The 17,832-nt window shown below is 47.9% G+C and overlaps 1 protein-coding gene across 5 annotated transcripts in view; it reads left to right on the top strand.

Moving 5' to 3' along the window:
- Positions 1 to 5,785: 5,785 nt before the first annotated feature.
- IQGAP3 (IQ motif containing GTPase activating protein 3) overlaps positions 5,786 to 17,832 on the top strand; it is a 47,161-nt gene continuing 35,114 nt past the window's right edge. For 2 of the 5 annotated variants that reach the window (XM_047445996.1, NM_178229.5), the window contains exons 1-11: positions 5,786 to 5,858; positions 8,888 to 8,975; positions 11,805 to 11,961; positions 12,247 to 12,324; positions 13,660 to 13,736; positions 14,527 to 14,594; positions 14,685 to 14,798; positions 15,039 to 15,217; positions 15,686 to 15,764; positions 16,350 to 16,513; positions 17,330 to 17,417. In XM_047445996.1, coding sequence (XP_047301952.1) covers positions 5,822 to 5,858; positions 8,888 to 8,975; positions 11,805 to 11,961; positions 12,247 to 12,324; positions 13,660 to 13,736; positions 14,527 to 14,594; positions 14,685 to 14,798; positions 15,039 to 15,217; positions 15,686 to 15,764; positions 16,350 to 16,513; positions 17,330 to 17,417 — 1,129 coding nt within the window. In that variant the 5' untranslated portion in view covers positions 5,786 to 5,821. Of the gene's footprint in view, positions 5,874 to 8,887; positions 8,976 to 11,804; positions 11,962 to 12,243; positions 12,325 to 12,918; positions 13,016 to 13,659; positions 13,737 to 14,526; positions 14,595 to 14,684; positions 14,799 to 15,038; positions 15,218 to 15,685; positions 15,765 to 16,349; positions 16,514 to 17,329; positions 17,418 to 17,832 lie in introns of those variants that run through there. The other 3 variants (XM_047445990.1, XM_011509198.4, XM_047446003.1) reach the window with 2 other exon arrangements.

The following is a 17,832-nucleotide window of genomic DNA, read 5'->3' as shown; positions in this document are numbered from 1 at the left end:
CTTGAGCTGTCCTGGAAGTGAACCCTTTCTCTCTCTCTCTCTCTCTCTCTCACACGCACACGCACGCGCACACACACACACACACACACACACTCTCTCTCTCTCTCTCTCTCTCTCTCTTACATACTGTGCTTCTGTGTGGTGGTTTCACATTTGGGAACAGGGTGAAAGATTGATAGTCAGGAAAGGCCTGGAGATCAGAAGAGACTCCCCCAAGACTCCTTTTTCCAACTCCACTGATCTGTGACCTACAGTTTCTGCTTAATGAGAGGACAGCAGGCCCCAGGACGAAGGGAATATAATGCCCCAACTCACCAAGGGTGGCCTGCATCAGAAAGAAAATGTCCTCATTGCCTAGGGAAAGGCCTCTTTTAAGTAAAGAGGCCTTTGCCAGAAACAAAAATTATGAAGTGACGGGGCTCACCTGCGTTTGGCCTGCAGCCTTTGCTAAATGCCTGCTATGTGCAGGCATAGTGCTGGGTGCTACAGATGGTGCTGTGGCAGAGTGAAAAAATGGCTTCTCCCTACCCTTCTAGATTCTTTGGCTGGGCTACAAATTAAATTGACATAAGACAGATTAGCAGGAGAAAAACCATTTTAATTACAGTCATGCTTCGCTTAGCAACAGGGATATGTTCTGAGAAATGCATCATTAGGTGATTTTGTCATTGTGCAAACATCATAGATGGTGTTTACTTACACAAACTTAGATGGTGTAGCCTACTACACACCCAGGCTCTCTGGTATAGCCTATTGCTTCTAGGCCACAAAGCTGGACAGCATGTTACTCTCCTGAATACTGTCACCAAATGTCATTCAATGGTATTTGTGTATCTAAACATATCTAAACAAAGTACCCTAAGTATATGGTATAAGAGATTTAAGTGGGGTGCGGTGGCTCACACCTGTAATCCCACAACTTTGGGAGACTGAGGTGGGTGGATCACTTGAGGCCAGGAGTTGGAAACCAGCCTGGCCAACATGGTGTAACCCTGTCTCTACTAAAAATTAGCTGCACGTGGTGGCGCGCACCTGTAATCCCAGCTACTCGGGAGGTTGAGGCAGGAGAATTGCTTGAACCCATGAGGCGGAGGTTGCAGGGAGCTGAGATCACACCACTGCACTCCAGCCTGGGTGACAAAGGGAGACCCTGTCTCAAAAAAAAAAAAAAAAAAAAAGGGAGATTTAAAATGGTACACCTGCATAGGGCAGTCACCATGAATGGAGCTTGCAGAACTGGAAGTTGCTCTGGGCAAGTTAGTGAGTGAGTGGTGAGTGAATGTGAAGGCCTAGGACATTACTGTTTTTTGTTTATGTTTTTGTTTTTTGAGACAGAGTCTCTGTCTGTCACTCAGGCTGGAGTGCAGTGGTGAAATCACAACTCACTGCAGCCTTGACCTCCCGGGCTCAAGTAATCCTCCCAACTTAGCCTCCTGACTAGCTGGGACTATAGGTGTGTGCCACCATGCCCAGCTAACTTAAAAATTTTTTTTTTGTAGAGACAGGATCTCGCTATGTTGCCCAGGCTGACCTTGAACTCCTGGGCTCAAGTAATCCTCCTGCATCAGCCTCCAAAGTGCTAGGATTACAGGCATGAGCCACCACATCCAGCCTAGGACATTACTATACATGTATATATGACTGGCAGCATGGTAGGTCTGTTTACACCAGCATCACCACAAACATGTGAGTGACGCGTTGTACTAAGGTGTTAGGGTGGCTACAACATCACTAGGTGATAGGAATATTTTAGGTCTATTATAATCTTATGGCATCACCATTGTATATGCGATTTGTTGTTGACCAAAACGTTGTTATGAGGCTCATGACATATGTGCATATACACAGGAGTCCCGTAACACATGAGACTCAAAGAAAAGTCAGACGATTGACGTTTATACAGCATCCCCAGCTACAGAAAGGAATAGGGGTTGGGGCATCTCGGGGGTGGTGCTGATCCAAGTTATTGGAGGGTGAGGGGAGCAAGTGCATGGTGAACAGAGGTTGTCCAGCTAGGACAAACAGAAGTTATCTCAGAGCAGCCCTCTTCCTGATACAGGTACTTTACTAATGTAGATTTCCTTTACAGATATAAATTTCTTTTACGAAAGGACAACTTTTCAGCGCTACTCCTGTGTCTGCAGTTTCTCAGAATAACCTGCTCAAAATATGCCAAAGAAGTATATTTTGAGGTGGCATATTCTAGTTTCCTACAGTCATATTTTGGGGTGGTGTGTCCTGAGTCCCATGCCCAAGGCAGGCTAACCCAGCTGTCTGCAGCTTCTGCAGACAGCTGGGCTTTTAAGGTGCTACCACAGCCTGGTCAGGGCCAAATATGCAGCTCAGTTTGTCCTTCACTCAGCAGGCTTCCCTTAAGAAGGGAGGATGATTTAGGGAGAGGGCAGGGACTGAAACTGTTCTCACCAAGGCTCCAATGACCTCCCAATTATCCAGTGATCATTTCTGAATCATTTTCTTGTTTGATTCCTTTCTGTACCCACCACATCCTTGCACTCTCTTTTCACTTGGCTTCCATAACGTTCTGTCTCCTGGCTCTCTCTGTCCTTCTCTGAAAATTCCATTTCCATCTCTTTTGCTGGACCCTCTGTCTACCTCTTAAATGCTAATGTCCCCCAACATGCTGCCCTTTGCTATTTTCTCTTCTTACTTTATATACTCTTCTAAGAACATTTCACTGACTCCTGTGGTTTTAACACCACTGACAGACTCATAATTTCTAAATGTGTACCTATAGATGTAACTTGTCCAAGGGAAACTCACATTTCCCTAACTCTACCCTTCCAGCGTTCTCAGTGTTAATAGTAGACCAACAACCCAGTCTCTAAACCAGAAACCGAGGAGCCATTCTTGACTCCTTCTCTGGCTCTCAATCTCAGCCTGTTGATTCTACCTTTGAAATCCTCCTCTAGTATACCCTTTGTACTGCAGTCTCATGCCTTGGAGGTGGTATAGTATATAGTGGTTAAAAACTCAAGCTTGGGGCCGGGCGTGGTGGCTCACGCCTATAACCCCAACACTTTGGGAGGCTGAGGCGGGCAGATCACCTGAGGTCAGGAGTTTGAGACCAGCCTGGCCAACATGGTGAAACCCCATCTCTACTAGAAATATAAAAAAATTAGCCAGGCGTGGTAGTGGGCACCTGTAATCGCAGCTACTTGGGAGACTGAGGCAGGAGAATTACTTGAACCCAGGAGGTGGAAGTTGCAGTGAGCCAAAATCGTGCCAATGCACTCCAGCCTGGGTAGCAGAGTGAGACTTTGTCTCAAAAAAATAAAAAATAAAATAAAAAATAAGGCCAGGCGCGGTGGCTCATGCCTGTAATCCCAGCACTTTGGGAGGCTGAGGTGGGCAGATCATGAGGTCAGGAGGTCGAGACCATTCTGGCTAACACGGTGAAACTCCAACTCTACTAAAAAATACAAAAAAGAAAAATTAGCTGGGGTAGTGGCAGGCATCTGTAGTCCCAGCTACTCGAGAGGCTGCGGCAGGAGAATGGCGTGAACCTGGGAGGTGGAGCTTGCAGTGAGCCGAGATCGCGCCACTGTACTCCAGCCTGGGTGACAGAGCAAGACTCCGTCTCAAAAAAAAAAAAAAAAGAACTCAAGCTTGGAGTGCGACTATCTGCATTTAGCTCTAGTCTCTACCAGTTATTAGCTGTGTGACCTTTCTAAGTCTCAGTTTCTAATCTGTATTGTAAAGATTAAATAAGATAGTTATTGTAAGATCATGCTAAATATAGTACCCATCCTATAGTAAACACTATAGGTGTGTTGGTCCATAACTCTGGTGTGGAAGAAATTAATCTCTACTCAACTTCTGTTTCAAGCCCTGATTCCACTGGGATGATGGAAACAATGTGAACAAGTCTGGGGATTTGCCCCCTCCTTTTCCCCAGGGTGGAGTCTAAGTAGGGGGAGGTATATGAGGCCAAGATGAGGCTCATCTGGTCCTCAGCCGTCTATTCACAAAGGTGTCCACTGACACCTTCTTTCTTCTCATCTGCCTGGCCCTTTCAAGCCCAGGGTCCAAGCAGAAGAGGGGAGTAATTCATTCGGATACTTCCTTTCTGTCTAGGTCAGGAATTTCTGCAAAGCTGTCTATTGTCTGCCTGGCTAATTATATAACTGTTCTTTCTCAGGGTCCTGTACACCTAGGGTCCTTTCCAGGAAGCAGAGAATGGGACCCCAGTTGCCAGGAGCCACCAACATCTAGATTCTGTCTCCCCCAGCTGGTGAGAGGTAAGGGGAATCCCTCAGATCTTCAGGGGGGCATCCACTCTTCAAATTACACTTTTCCCAGTTTTGTCTCAGCCCCTGAGTCTCCTCTGTTCCTCTGAAGGCTCTAGGTATGGATTTCTGTTTTCTGTTCTTTCACATTCTCCTCTCCTACCTGCCCAAGCTATAAGCCTAGGCTGCTTGGTTGTTTGGATGGAGTGTGGGGAAAGGGTAAAAGGAGAAATACAAGATGGGGAAACCTATCAGATAATATTTTTTCAGCATAGTTGTTGGTGTCATAATTATTTTTTATTAGTTCAGGCTCTTTTTTTTTTTTTTTTTTTTTTTTTTGAGACGGCGTCTCACTCTGTCGCCCAGGCTGGAGTGCAGTGGCACAGTCTCAGCTCACTGCAACCTCTGCCTCCTGGGTTCAAGCGATTCTCCTGCCTCAGCCTCCGGAGTACCTGGGATTACAGGCATACCCCACCACGCCTGGCTAATATTTGTATTTTTACTAGAGATGGGGTTTCACCATGTTGGCCTGTCTGGTCTTGAACTCCTGACCTCAGTTAATCTGCCCGCCTCCGCCTCCCAAAGTGCTGGGATTACAGGTGTGAACCACCGTGCCTGGCCTAGTTCAGGCTCTTATTATCTCTCTTCTGTGCTACTGCAGTAGCCTTCCAACTGGTCTCTGCCCCTAGCCTCACCCCCTTCCAATCCCCTGCTATAAGATGGCTCTTTTTAAAGGACAAATCTGGCTCTGACCTATGTCTAAAGTGTTCCTTGGCTGGTGACTGCTCACCAGACCCCATGCCAGGGCCCTAGCATGGTGCCCAAGGTGCTACTGGACCTGGCCCTGTGCCTCCAGGATCCCTTCTGGCCTCTCCCTGGCTGAGCTTTGTTCTCCTCTAAAACTGAACCAAGTTTAAGTTCCCGAACTCACCTCCTCGTTCTTGCACATGCTGTCTCCACTGACTGCACTGCCTCTCTTCTTCAATCTGATGAATTCTCTTTCACTTCTCAACCCAAATCAGCTGTCACTTCCACCAGGACGTCTTCCCTGTCATTCGCTGCTCTTATTCACAGCAATGACCCCCTCCCTCTGTGCATCACCGACCTCTAATTTATTTGACTATATGTCTATCACTTGTGCCAGAACAGCAAACTCTTTTAGAGCATTCACTGCCCTCATACATCTCTGCATTCGCATCACCTAGCTTAGTGCATAGCGCCAAGTAGGCCCACAAGTTAGCCGGACTCGGGAACACATAGGAAGCAGAGTAGGGGTTAATGGGAATACTAGGTGGAGATGACAGAGGCAATGGCAGGGGCAGCAGCTAGAATAAGACTGTTAAGCAGAAAAGGAGCCTGGAAGGAACAAGACGAGGAACTGCTGTAAGGGGAGCGGTACTGCCCCGGCCTGGGGCGCCTCTTCTCCCAGCACCTGGGCGGCCCGGCTCCGCGGCCGGGAACTACAAATCCCAGGATTCTCAGCGGTGTGGACGGGAAGTGTCCTGTCTGGCGGTGCCGACGGTGAGGGGCGGTGGCCCAACGGCGGGAGATTCAAACCTGGAAGAAGGAGGAACATGGAGAGGAGAGCAGCGGGCCCAGGCTGGGCAGCCTGTGAGTGCGGAGAGGGTCAGAGAAGGGTCTCGCAGTGGTGCCGCTGGTCGGGGGCTTGGCTGTCCCGGGAGAGATTGGGGCGTGTGTCGGGCGTGAAGCCTGAGGGGCGAGGGCGGTGGGACTGCTCAGTGGGACGGGAATCCTCAGCCCGGGCGCCGTGGGCCCGAGTGGAACTGTGAGCGGCGCATTGTCCCCTGACTAATGTGCTGCGCTTTAAAGCTTACAAAGAACTTTCTTCCTATTTCCAAGTTCTGGGGTTCCGGAGTCGGGAGAATGTAGGTGATCCTAATGGCTCCTTGAAATTCAGCAGTTACTGCTGGCTACCAAACTTGCCCAGCGATGCCACCGGACAAGACGCCTCAAGGGATCTGGGGGACTCTTAGGCTTTGAGATGCCGCTTTCAGACAATGCCTGTCAAACAGGGGGTGAAATTACCCGGGAAGCTTGTTTGAGATGCAGATTCCTGGGACCTGTCCCAGAGCTTCAGTTCCAGAAGGTCTGGTTTGGGGCCCATAATCTGCATTTATAACAAGCACTGCTGTGCTTCTTCCCTCACCCCAGGTGATTGTGAGGAAGGTAGTCCCTGGGCCACATTTTCAAAGACACTGTTTTAGAGAGAGAGACTGGAGCTGGAAGGATGGGTGGGGCAGAAAGGTTCTATCTGATTTTCTGAATGAAAGGAAAACCTGCTCCTTCCACCACTCCCTTCCTTTCTATTAGGATTCAAAGAGCAAAGTCCATGTCCAGTCTTCTGTTAAAGGAAAACTAGTTCCAGACCTGAGAAGGACAGGAAAACTGTTTTTCGGTTTTTTATTTTTTTGAGACAGCATGTGTATGTACAAAATCCCTCCCATCGCCCACAGTCCTCAGTTCATAACTCTGAGATGATGTCATTCACTTACTGGTTTATTTTCCATGCTTAACAACCAACACTTGTTCCTTGTACACCCCCTTGGAGGAACTGATGGCTTTCCTGTGGTTGGCCAGTGTTTTCAAATCTGTATTTGGAGGGGTGTGTGTGTGTGTGCACGCATGTGTTTTAATTTACTTAACTGCTCATTCATATAAGCTCTGCCCTTCCCTGAATCATTGCAGAATATGCAATATAAGGAAATAGGATAACAACCGGGAATGACATTAAGTGCTGAGTCAAAGACAGATTGGCTAAGCTCTGCCTTTTTTCAAGCTCTCTGAGTTTATTTTCTTACTGTGTGTGTAGCTTTCTCTTACTCTTTCTGTTTGATTTTGTATTGTGTTTCTAAGGAGAATAGAGAGAGGGGAGAGAAGGGAGAAGGATTAAGGGAGACTGTAACTAAGGCAAATTATGATTGCTGTCTCACTTGAGGGATTCTCTATTCTTGAGTTTTGGAATCAGTACTCTGTATTTTATTTAGCTTGAAGATTCTTTTCCTCCTCGGGTGACCTATACCAAAAAGGATAGTGAAGATACCTTTGTGATCTTTTAAAATTTTCTTTGTCCTTCCACTTAATCCCAAGTGAGTGGCATGTTTCCCTCTGTTGGACTGCCTTTCCCTGTGTTCCGCCTATTTATTCCTTAAGATCTAGTTCATAGCTAGAATCCTTTGCTTCCTCTGCTGCTCCCATAGATTTTATGCATGGGCTATAATCATACTTATCATGTTAGATTAATTTATTCAGATGTTTTTCTCTTCTGATAATAATCTTTGGGCGCTGTGGTTCACGCCTGTAATCCCAGCACTTTGGGAGGCCAAGGCGGGAGGATCACTTGAGCCCAGGAGTCCAAGACCAGCCTGGGCAACATGGTGAGAACCAGTCTCAACAAAAAACGCAAGAATTAGCCAGACATGGTGGTGCGCACCTGTGGTCCCAGCTATTTGGTGGTGGGGGGGCTGAGGTGGGAAGATCACCTGAGCCCAGGAGGTCAAGGCTGCACTACTGCACTCCAGCCTGGGTGACAGAGTGACACCCTGTTTCAAAAACAAAACAAACCCACCAATATCTCTGTTGTCCAGGATGGAGTGCAGTGGCACGATCATGGCTAACCGCAGCCTAGACCTCCTGGGCTCAGGTCTAGGCCCAGTAGCTGGGAGTACAGGTTTGCACCATCACACCAGGCTAATTTGTGTATTTTTTGTCAAGACAGGGTCTCACCATGTTGCCCAGGCTGGTCTCAAACTTCTGGGCTCAAGCGATCCACCTACCTCAGCATCCAGAAGTACTGGGATTATAGGCATGAGCCACCATGCAGGCCTTTATCTCTGCATTTCTTAAGAGTAGGGGTCTGCTAGTCCAGTGCCTGGCATAAAGGAGGTATTGATGAATGAATGAATGAGTGAATGATGAATTCTGGTTGGTTCTATTACCTCACCTCTGAGAGAGTAACCAACGAGGATGACACAGGTCCAGTTCTTGGAGAACTCAGTCTAATTAGGGATAAGAAAAGGAGTTAAGTTTCAAGCCAAGGAAGGCTCTGGATGTCCCAGCTGGGAGGTACTGAGGGAAGTTCCATGAGTAGACTTGAGGAGGAAGAGGACAGGAAGATGGCTACAGAGGAAAGAGAAGTAATGCCTCCAGCACAGGAGGAGGCTGCCTATTAAAGGGTATCCTGGGAAGAGAAGGAGGGACACATGGGAGATGTTTCAGGTCTCTGAGCAGGGTTGCCTAAACAAGTCTGTTGAGAAGATGTTTCGGCTGGGCATGGTGGCGGCTCAAGCCTGTAATGCCAGCACTTTGGGAGGCCAAGGCGGGCGGATCACGAGGTCAGGAGATCAAGACCATCCTGGCTAACATGGTGAAACCCTGTCTCTACTAAAAAATATAAAAAATTAGCCAGGCGTGGTGGCGGGCGCCTGTAGTCCCAGCTACTCGGGAGGCTGACGCAGGAGAATGGCATGAACCCGGGAGGCGGAGCTTGCAGTGAGCCAAGATTGGGCCACTGCACTCCAGCCTGGGCGTCTCAAAAAAAAAAAAAAAAAAAAAAAAGACCCTTCAGTGCTAAGGCACCTCTAATGCTCTCTTCATTGACCTTATCCCGTTTAACTCCTCAGATGAACGCCTCACAGCTGAGGAGATGGATGAGCAGAGGCGGCAGAATGTTGCCTATCAGTACCTGTGCCGGCTGGAGGAGGCCAAGCGGTGAGCGGAGTCCAGGAAGATGGACTCTTTCTGCTCTCCCTTTCTACCACCCCACCCTAGGCATCTGCCGCTAAAGCAAATGCAACAGATCGAGAGTCCATCCTGTGGGAAAGGGCGAGTTGAAATAGCTTTTTAATTTTTTTTTTTTGAAGCAAATCCCAGTCACATCCTTTTACCCACTATATACCGCAATATGTATCTCCAAAATATGTGGACGTTCGCTTATATAGCCACAATGCCATTATAATATCCAACTAAATTATTTTAAATCCTTGGAAGATCAATACCCAAGCCATTTTCAAATTTTCCTGCTTGTCTTAAAAAAAAAATCTGTTTTTACAGTTATCTTATTCAAATAAGGATCCAAAAAGCTCACTAATTACATCTGCTTGTATGTCTTCTTTAATCCAGAGCAGCCCATCTCCTTTTTTCAGTTCATTATCTTATTGACTTGCTGAAGAAAACTGGGTCATTTTCCTGAAGTACATCCTACATTTTGTCTCTATTTCTTTTCTTTCTTTCCTTCTGTTTTTTAGAGATGGGTGTCTATTTGCTTTCTTGTGTCATTCAGCTTATTCCTGTATACCCTGTATTTCCTATAAATGAATGTTGGCTTAATTAGATTTGGGTTCAACATTTTTGACAAGCAACATGGCGAAACCCCATCTTTACAAAAAATACAAATATTAGCCAGGCATGGTGGCGTGTGCCCATAGTCCCAGCTACTTGGGGGGCTGAGGAAGGAGGATTGCTTGAACCTGGGAGGTCGAGGAGGCCACAGTGAGCCAAGATGGCACCACTGCACTCCATCCTGGATGACAAAGTGAGACTGTGTCTCCAAAAACAAACAGAAAAACCTGGATGGGCGCTGTGGCTCACGCCTGTAATCCCAGCACTTTGGGAGGCCAAGGCGGGCAGATCACCTGGGGCCAGGAGTTTGAGACCAGCCTGGCTGACATGGTGAAATCCTGTCTCTACAAAAAAAATACAAAAATTAGCTGGTCGCAGTGGTGCATGCCTGTAATCCCAGCTACTCAGGAGGCTGAGGCAGGAGAATCGCTTGAACCCAGGAGGCAGATGTTGCAGTGAGCCAAGATCATGCCATTGCACTCCAGCCTGGGTGAAAGAGTGAGACTCTGTCTCAAAAAAAAACAAAAACAAAAAGCCATTTTTGACAAGAAGACTTCATTAGTGTTGGTGGTTTTTTTTCCCCCACTCAGATCCTTTTACCCCTTATATACTGCAATACATATATCTAAAATATGTGATATTTAACATATGTAAGATACATGTTCCATATCACATCTTATAGAAAGAATACAATGTCTGCTTGTTCCACTTTTAGTGATGCTAAGTTCAATCTGGGAGTTTAGGTGAAACCAACCTGATTTACACATCATAAAATTTCCCATTAACTTTCATCTAATGCCTTCATTCATTGTTGGTCTACATCAGAATTTATTATTTTATCAAGGGTGTAAAATGACTATTTTCTAGTTCTGTCATTTCTTCCATATTTACTAGCTGAAATCCTAAAGAACATTCCCTCATCATCTTAGGACTATTCGGTTACTCTAAAAGTCAATCTGTACAGGAAAAGCAGGATACGTACTTAATTCTTTGCTTTTAATCAACAGGATTCTTTTAATGTTCTTAAAGGAGTCAGGAGGATGGGGCAATCAGGAAAAATCAGGTGTCTAAGGCAGGGAAGACATGGAACAATGTGTAACTGGCTCTCTTTTTGGAAACAGATACTTTCCAATTAGACCCCAATATGTAGGGAAGTTTGGAGATTCCATCTGAGTAGACTTTAATCTCTCCCTCATACAACCATCAGTAATAATAATACTTTATATTCAAAGTGTTTTCACATTCATTAGCTCATTTGATCCTGGCAGCTGCCCACTGAAGGAAATACAGGTGGCATTATCCTCATTTTGCAAATTGTGCAACTGAGGCTCACAGAGGTGAAGTAGGGAAGATGGTTGGAAAGGGGGCCTTCGGACTCCAAGAGCTGTGGTCGTTCTGTCCCTTTGTGCTGCTCCCCTTCCACCAGCCCCACTACTCTCATCATCATCAAAGCTGGGTTATGAGCCATGTAGATCATTCAGGCAGACATGACCTTTCTGCACCCAGGTTCTCAGAGAACAACCCAGAATGAAAGAAGTGAGCACGTTCTATTTTGTTTAGCAGTCAAAGATGTAACTAGGGCCGGGCGCGGTGGCTCATGCCTGTAATCCCAGCACTTTGGGAGGCCAAGGCGGGCGGATCACCTGAGGTCGGGAGTTTGAGACCAGCCTGACCAACATGGAGAAACCCTATCTCTACTAAAAATACAAAATTAGCTGGGCGTGGTGGGGTGTGCCTGTAATCCCAACTACTCGGGAGGCTGAAGGCAGGAGAATCACTTGAACCTGGGAGGCGGAGGTTGCAGTGAGCCAAGATCGCACCATTGCACTCTAGCCTGGGCAACAAGAGCGAGACGCCATTTCAAAAAAAAAAAAAAAAAAAAAAGCATGTAACTAGACTGAGTGAGAAGCTATGTAACAGTTAAGCCTCACTGAAGATGGGCAGGTTCAGGATCTGTCAAGGAAGATTTGCTGGGGTGGGTGGGGCTGAGGGTTGGCCAGTCCAGATATTTGGGGCAACCTAGGAGAAGGTGGGAACAGCCAGGCAATGGGCAGAGAAGGGAGTTGGAGGTAGAGCAGGAACAGGAAGCAGAGGAGGGTCAGGGGCCACTTAAAAGGAGGGACAGAGGGAAGTTCCTGTTGTTAGAATAAATCACTGTGGTCTGCCAGAGTGCGTGAGAAGGTGTTCTCATGTTCATAGCTGGATGGAGGCCTGCCTGAAGGAGGAGCTTCCTTCCCCGGTGGAGCTGGAGGAGAGCCTTCGGAATGGAGTGCTGCTGGCCAAGCTAGGCCACTGTTTTGCACCCTCCGTGGTTCCCTTGAAGAAGATCTACGATGTGGAGCAGCTGCGGTACCAGGTGGGAGGATTGGACCCCACCTTCTACCTTCGTCCCCTCAAACTATGCTTTCTCCTCAAAGCTGTGAGGGTAGAGTGACCATATAACTTATTGTCCAAATCTGGATAAAAGGGAGTGTTATTAATCTATGTTTCTCTGTCCTGGTAGGGATGGAAAATCCACAGGATGTGGTCCTCTGGTTCCCCTCTGCCCATCTCTCCTGAATCTTTAAGCTGTAGTCTGGGCTTTACCCATAGGGAGTGCTGAGAACTGTGGAAATAGATTTTCTTTTTCCTTCCCTTTCAGGCAACTGGCTTACATTTCCGTCACACAGACAACATCAACTTTTGGCTATCTGCAATAGCCCACATCGGTCTGCCTTCGGTAATACTGGGCCTGAAGATTGGTATTCATCTTTACTCCTTACCAGCCACCTCCCACAATCCCATGCTTTATCTCCCTGGACCCTTTAGCCCTATTTCCATGTGTCTTCTAAACTAACTTAATCTAAGAGAACAGTTCCTTGCAGCTGTGTGTCTTTGAACCAGGTTATTTTTTTCTCTGCCTCCTCTTCCCTGTGGATGAAAGGAGGTGAAGTTTCCCTGGCCTGAGTGGCACGGTTCCCATTATGCAGGGGGTGGGAGGCTGCTATGTCATGCTCGTATTGGCCAGCCTTGTCTCCACCAAATTTCACAGTGTGAAGCAAGGGTATACACATCCCTAGGTGGCAGACTTTGAGTTAGAAGCCTAGGTCCAAAACCCCAACTGGACACATGATTTCACTCTTTGAACCTCAATTTGTTACTCATCTGTAAAATGGGGATAGTGAGCCCTGCCCTGTCTACCTTACAGTGTTGTCAGGAAGATCACATGGTCTGTGTGAACTCCCTTTGTGAACTGTGAAGAGCTATACAAATGAAGGCATGATAGGATTCTACAATGTATGGTTTCTTTCTGCTTTGTTTTTCTTCCCTGTAGAAAGGCACTATAAGACAGGAAACAGCAGTAAAGACACTTCGATGGGAGGCAGAAGCAATAGAGGTCATGTGTCTTCAGTGGGACTGGAACACTCTAGGTCTCTAAATTTGGTCTTTTATTGTGAATCTAAATATAACCAAGATATATTGAGGTTAGGCCTCATTACAGTTGTCAGGTGGCATTGAGAAGCCATACCTGGTGCCACTCGGTTCTTAGAAGGGCTCTCATTGATCAGAAGCCGCTGGCTTGGAGACAGGGATAACAGCCTGACACTTTTGTGGTCCTTGGCAATATATGCTTCATTGGGCCCTGCATGGGAGTAGGCCAGCTCTCCAGCATACCACATCTCTGGCAAGGGTCTAAGGTGAGGCATGCAGGCTCACTATAGACATCTGGAAGACAACTGGGGGCCTGGTTTTTTGTTGTTGTTGCTGTTATTGTTTTTGGAGGATATGGCTTATATCCTGTAGCCTTGATGGCCTTATCTGGTGTTTGGTTAATCCAGGGCACCCTAGGACTATGTGTCTGTGGCTGAGCCTTGGCTTAGTATGCATCCTCAGTGAATTTCTTTTATACTAGGCTGACTAGAAATGGTTGGGGGAGACTGACCTAGACACCCCAGGTAACAAGGGAACACACACCTCAGGTTGGAGAGGAAGACCCATTCCTCGGCACCCCCTCTCCGCATTTGGTGGTGCTTAAAGGTTCCCAATGGCAGTAACTGGCTGGTTTCTCCTCTAGACCTTCTTCCCAGAGACCACGGACATCTATGACAAAAAGAACATGCCCCGGGTAGTCTACTGCATCCATGCTCTCAGGTGAGAGACCTCAAATTTTATCATCCAGGTTCCTCTAGGTGGATGCGACCAACAATCAACAACAACAAACTCAGCAAGAAAGAAGGATGAAGGGTAGACCACAGGGAGCACTGCTCAGGAGAGTGAGGTTTCAGATTTACAGAGTTGTGTTTAGATTTTTGTGCATGTCTGTGGGCACATTTATGTATGGCCTGTGTGGGTGAAGGGGAAGGGCAGGCAGGGTACCAGAGATAGGAAAGTAGCAGGGTAGGGCCTTCAGTTTGTAACTGGGTATAAAGGAATCAGAACAGGACCTATTGAGAGCAACACAGGCAAGACACTTAGTATGGATGGTGTAGGCTCTTTGGTCCTACTTACAGCCAGCCATCAGCAACCAGTTGGCTAAATCACAGCAAGTGACCGACCGGTTCCTTGTGTTTACCATGCCATCTCTTTCTGACCACTTCCCATGTCCCTTTGTGCCCCTGTGCCTTAGCTCAGCAGGTATCTGCTTGCTGCGCCCTTCCTGTCCTCTCTCTCCATTGAGTGACCTGCTACTGCAATGTGGCCTTCTCTGTGAAGCCTTCCTAATCCCCTCAGACCCCCAACACCATCTTATTTACCTTCTGCAGCACTTTCCTTGGGCTGATTTATGGTCATATTTCTTTATGTGGGTTGGGGATGACTTGAGGGCAGGTGCTGAGTGGTCTTCATCTCTAGGTCCCCATAGTATCCCCTTCAAACCCATCGTGGGCAGAGTGTCAAAATGAATAGGCCCCAGTGCCTTCCAATGCCTTCCGTTTTTTCCTAGTCTCTTCCTCTTCCGGCTGGGATTGGCCCCTCAGATACATGATCTATACGGGAAAGTGAAATTCACAGGTAAGCCCAGCTCCTTCCCTGACCACCACAGCCTGGGCAGGGTCTTGGGGGTTCTGGGCCTGATGAAGGGCACCTGTGGCATCATTGCAGCTGAGGAACTCAGCAACATGGCGTCCGAACTGGCCAAATATGGCCTCCAGCTGCCTGCCTTCAGCAAGATCGGGGGCATCTTGGCCAATGAGCTCTCGGTGGATGAGGCTGCAGGTAAGGACTAGGCTCTGCCCTGCCAGGAGTAGGCTCAATGCGTATGGGAGGGCTCCAAGCCTCACAGCCATTGGATGGGTTCTGGCCAGCTCTCATCCACAGATAGGGCCATCAGGCTACCTGGTTTGTCTGGCCCTTGAGGGTGGGAAAAAGGATGACATTAGAGTGGGCTGCTACTGGTTGCGCTCCAATCTGGGATTCACTCTGGCCTCCTGACCTTGTTTCCATGCCCTCTCCCAGTCCATGCAGCTGTTCTTGCCATCAATGAAGCAGTGGAGCGAGGGGTGGTGGAGGACACCCTGGCTGCCTTGCAGAATCCCAGTGCTCTTCTGGAGAATCTCCGAGAGCCTCTGGCAGCCGTCTACCAAGAGATGCTGGCCCAGGCCAAGATGGAGAAGGCAGCCAATGCCAGGAACCATGTAAGGAGTAGTCTTGGGTTGCAGGGACCGAAAAGTTGAGTGGCTGGAAAGTCTCAAGTGAAACCGGGACTCCTATCTGTCATGTCTCTAGTATCCAAAATTGCTTCTTAGAGAAACCATAATTTATCAGTGATTTTAGAGAAATAGGAAAGGAACTTGGAAGAATGATGAGAATTCCGAAGAGAAGACTGGAGAAGAGGTTCTTGGGGGATGATCTTCAGGGAAGCCTGAGAGGGGTGCTGGAATGTAGAACAGAATGAGATTGGACTGGAGGTTCCAAAGGTTGGTTTGGCTTAATTATGTCAGTGCCAAGTGTTTTAGACCCCACAATTCCTGAATTCTGAGCAGACTGAACTTTGGCCTTGGGAAGGTCCCCAGAAGAAGAAATAAGTGTAGCCAGGCAGGGAAGAGCAGGACAAGGAGATTAAATTGGGTTTCCCAGGTTCCCTTTCAATGGAGTTTTTGCAGGATGACAGAGAAAGCCAGGACATCTATGACCACTACCTAACTCAGGCTGAAATCCAGGGCAATATCAACCATGTCAACGGTAAGAGACCTCGAGCAGGAGTGGTTTGGGGGTGACCTCAGGGTAAGCCCCTGCACTGGGAGGTTTGGGGATAGCTTTTCTCAAGCCAGAAAGCCCTATGGTCTCATTTGGGCCAACTCTTGCCTCGGAGAAAGATCAGAGTCCAAGGAGTATGTGCACTGCTTTCTGGCCATCGGTGTCTAGAGAAGTAGTCCATGTCCGGGAAGCTTCTGTCTGACTGGAGAACCATAGAGAGGAGCAGCTCTTGATGCCGGGGGGGCAGTTGGACTGGGGTCCTTCGAGAGGGGCAATGTGGAGAATACATGAGGATGGGGGGATCTGGGTAGGAGCCGTGTGAAGGCTCAGGATGGGTGGGCATTTGCCTATTTGGGTGAGGATATCCTTGGGGTCTGGGGCGGCGAAGTGAGAAGGCTGTGAAGACCAAGCTGAAGAATTTGGGCTGAACCAAATGGGCCCAGGAACCAAGGGGGAAAGGGTGGGGGTAATTCCGGGCAGGCAAGAAGAGGGTAGATTCCTAGGGCTGGACTAGGGGATTATGAGAGGTGGCTTTCTCACACTGTCCATTATGGAGTCATTTTTTTTCAGTCCATGGGGCTCTAGAAGTTGTTGATGATGCCCTGGAAAGACAGAGCCCTGAAGCCTTGCTCAAGGCCCTTCAAGACCCTGCCCTGGCCCTGCGAGGGGTGAGGAGAGACTTTGCTGACTGGTACCTGGAGCAGCTGAACTCAGACAGAGAGCAGAAGGCACAGGTTAGCCTCTGTCTATTACCTGCCACCCCCTGTATGTGACTATAGGATAGGAGAGGGCCTCTTACTCAAAGATCACCACTGTTGGTCCTTTGTATTCTGTAAGTGCTGACTACGTGTTTAAATGGTTAAATCACCCCAAGGCCTAGTAGACCAGATTGATCAGCTTCTGTCCCTGAGAGTCCCCCAGGCTGACCAAGAGGAACCCAAGGACAGTCCCATAGGCAGTAATGTGCTCCCCCATTGTTGAACTGGTGCCTCCACTTAGCAATCTTGTTTTTAAAGTAGTTGACTTTTCCCCTGACACATTCGTGTTGTCTATGTTGTTATTTTAGATGCTTGCTGAGCAAGAAAGATTAAAGATGAGTTAATAGGGCTGGGCACTGTGGCTCACGCCTGTAATCCCAGCACTTTGGGAGGCTGATGTGGGTGGATCACTTGAGGTCAGGAGTTTGAGACCAGCCTGGCCAATATAGTGAAACCCTGTCTCTACTAAAAATACAAAAATTAGCTGGTGTGGTGGCACACGCTTGTAATCCCAGCTACTTGGAAGGCTTCGGCAGAGAATCGCTTGAACCCGGGAGGCAGAGGTTGCCGTGAGCCGAGATTGTGCCACTGCACTCCAGCCTGGGAGACAGAGCAAGACTCCATCTTAAAAAAAAAAAAACGGTTAATAGGGATGAGTGAGCCAGCCTAACGGAGAGAGGTAGGATTGAGGGTAGGTGGCTGGGTAGACCTGGGAGCTCATGCTGGCAACTCGTAAAGCATGGTCATGGCCCCGGAAGGACTCCATTCTACTGTATCTCTTCCCTCTCTTAGGAGCTGGGCCTGGTGGAGCTTCTGGAAAAGGAGGAAGTCCAGGCTGGTGTGGCTGCAGCCAACACAAAGGGTGATCAGGAACAAGCCAGTAAGTCATCTGCAGGTCTGAGGCCTGCTCTGTGCGTATCTCTGACTCTTAGAAGAGTATCCCACCTCTTTGCTGGCTTCTGTATTGGGCAGTACACACTGCTGCTGTTTCCAGCCTGGCTAGGAACTTCTCCCCTCACATAATCTGCTTTATTCCTGCTGCCTGGGGGGACACTACAGATAAGTTCATTAAGGCCTTAGAGATAATGACATGCCAATACTGCACTGGGCTGTTCTCCTGGGGCAGGCAGTTTTCTTCCAGGCAGTTTGCCTGTAATTTTGACAGTTTCAACCTGCTTGAATTCCTTTGGCTTCGGAAATGTAGTAATTTTCCAGAATATGAGCAAAAAACTCATCTTCTCAGTTTCCCTTAAAAACATTATATACAAATGTAATTCTTTTTTGTTTGTTTTTGT

This window comes from Homo sapiens, chromosome 1 (genome assembly GCF_000001405.40).
Source record: "Homo sapiens chromosome 1, GRCh38.p14 Primary Assembly".
NCBI lineage: Eukaryota > Metazoa > Chordata > Mammalia > Primates > Hominidae > Homo > Homo sapiens.
The sequence above is the reverse complement of the archived record's forward strand: the minus strand, read 5'-3'. Positions and strand labels throughout refer to the sequence as shown.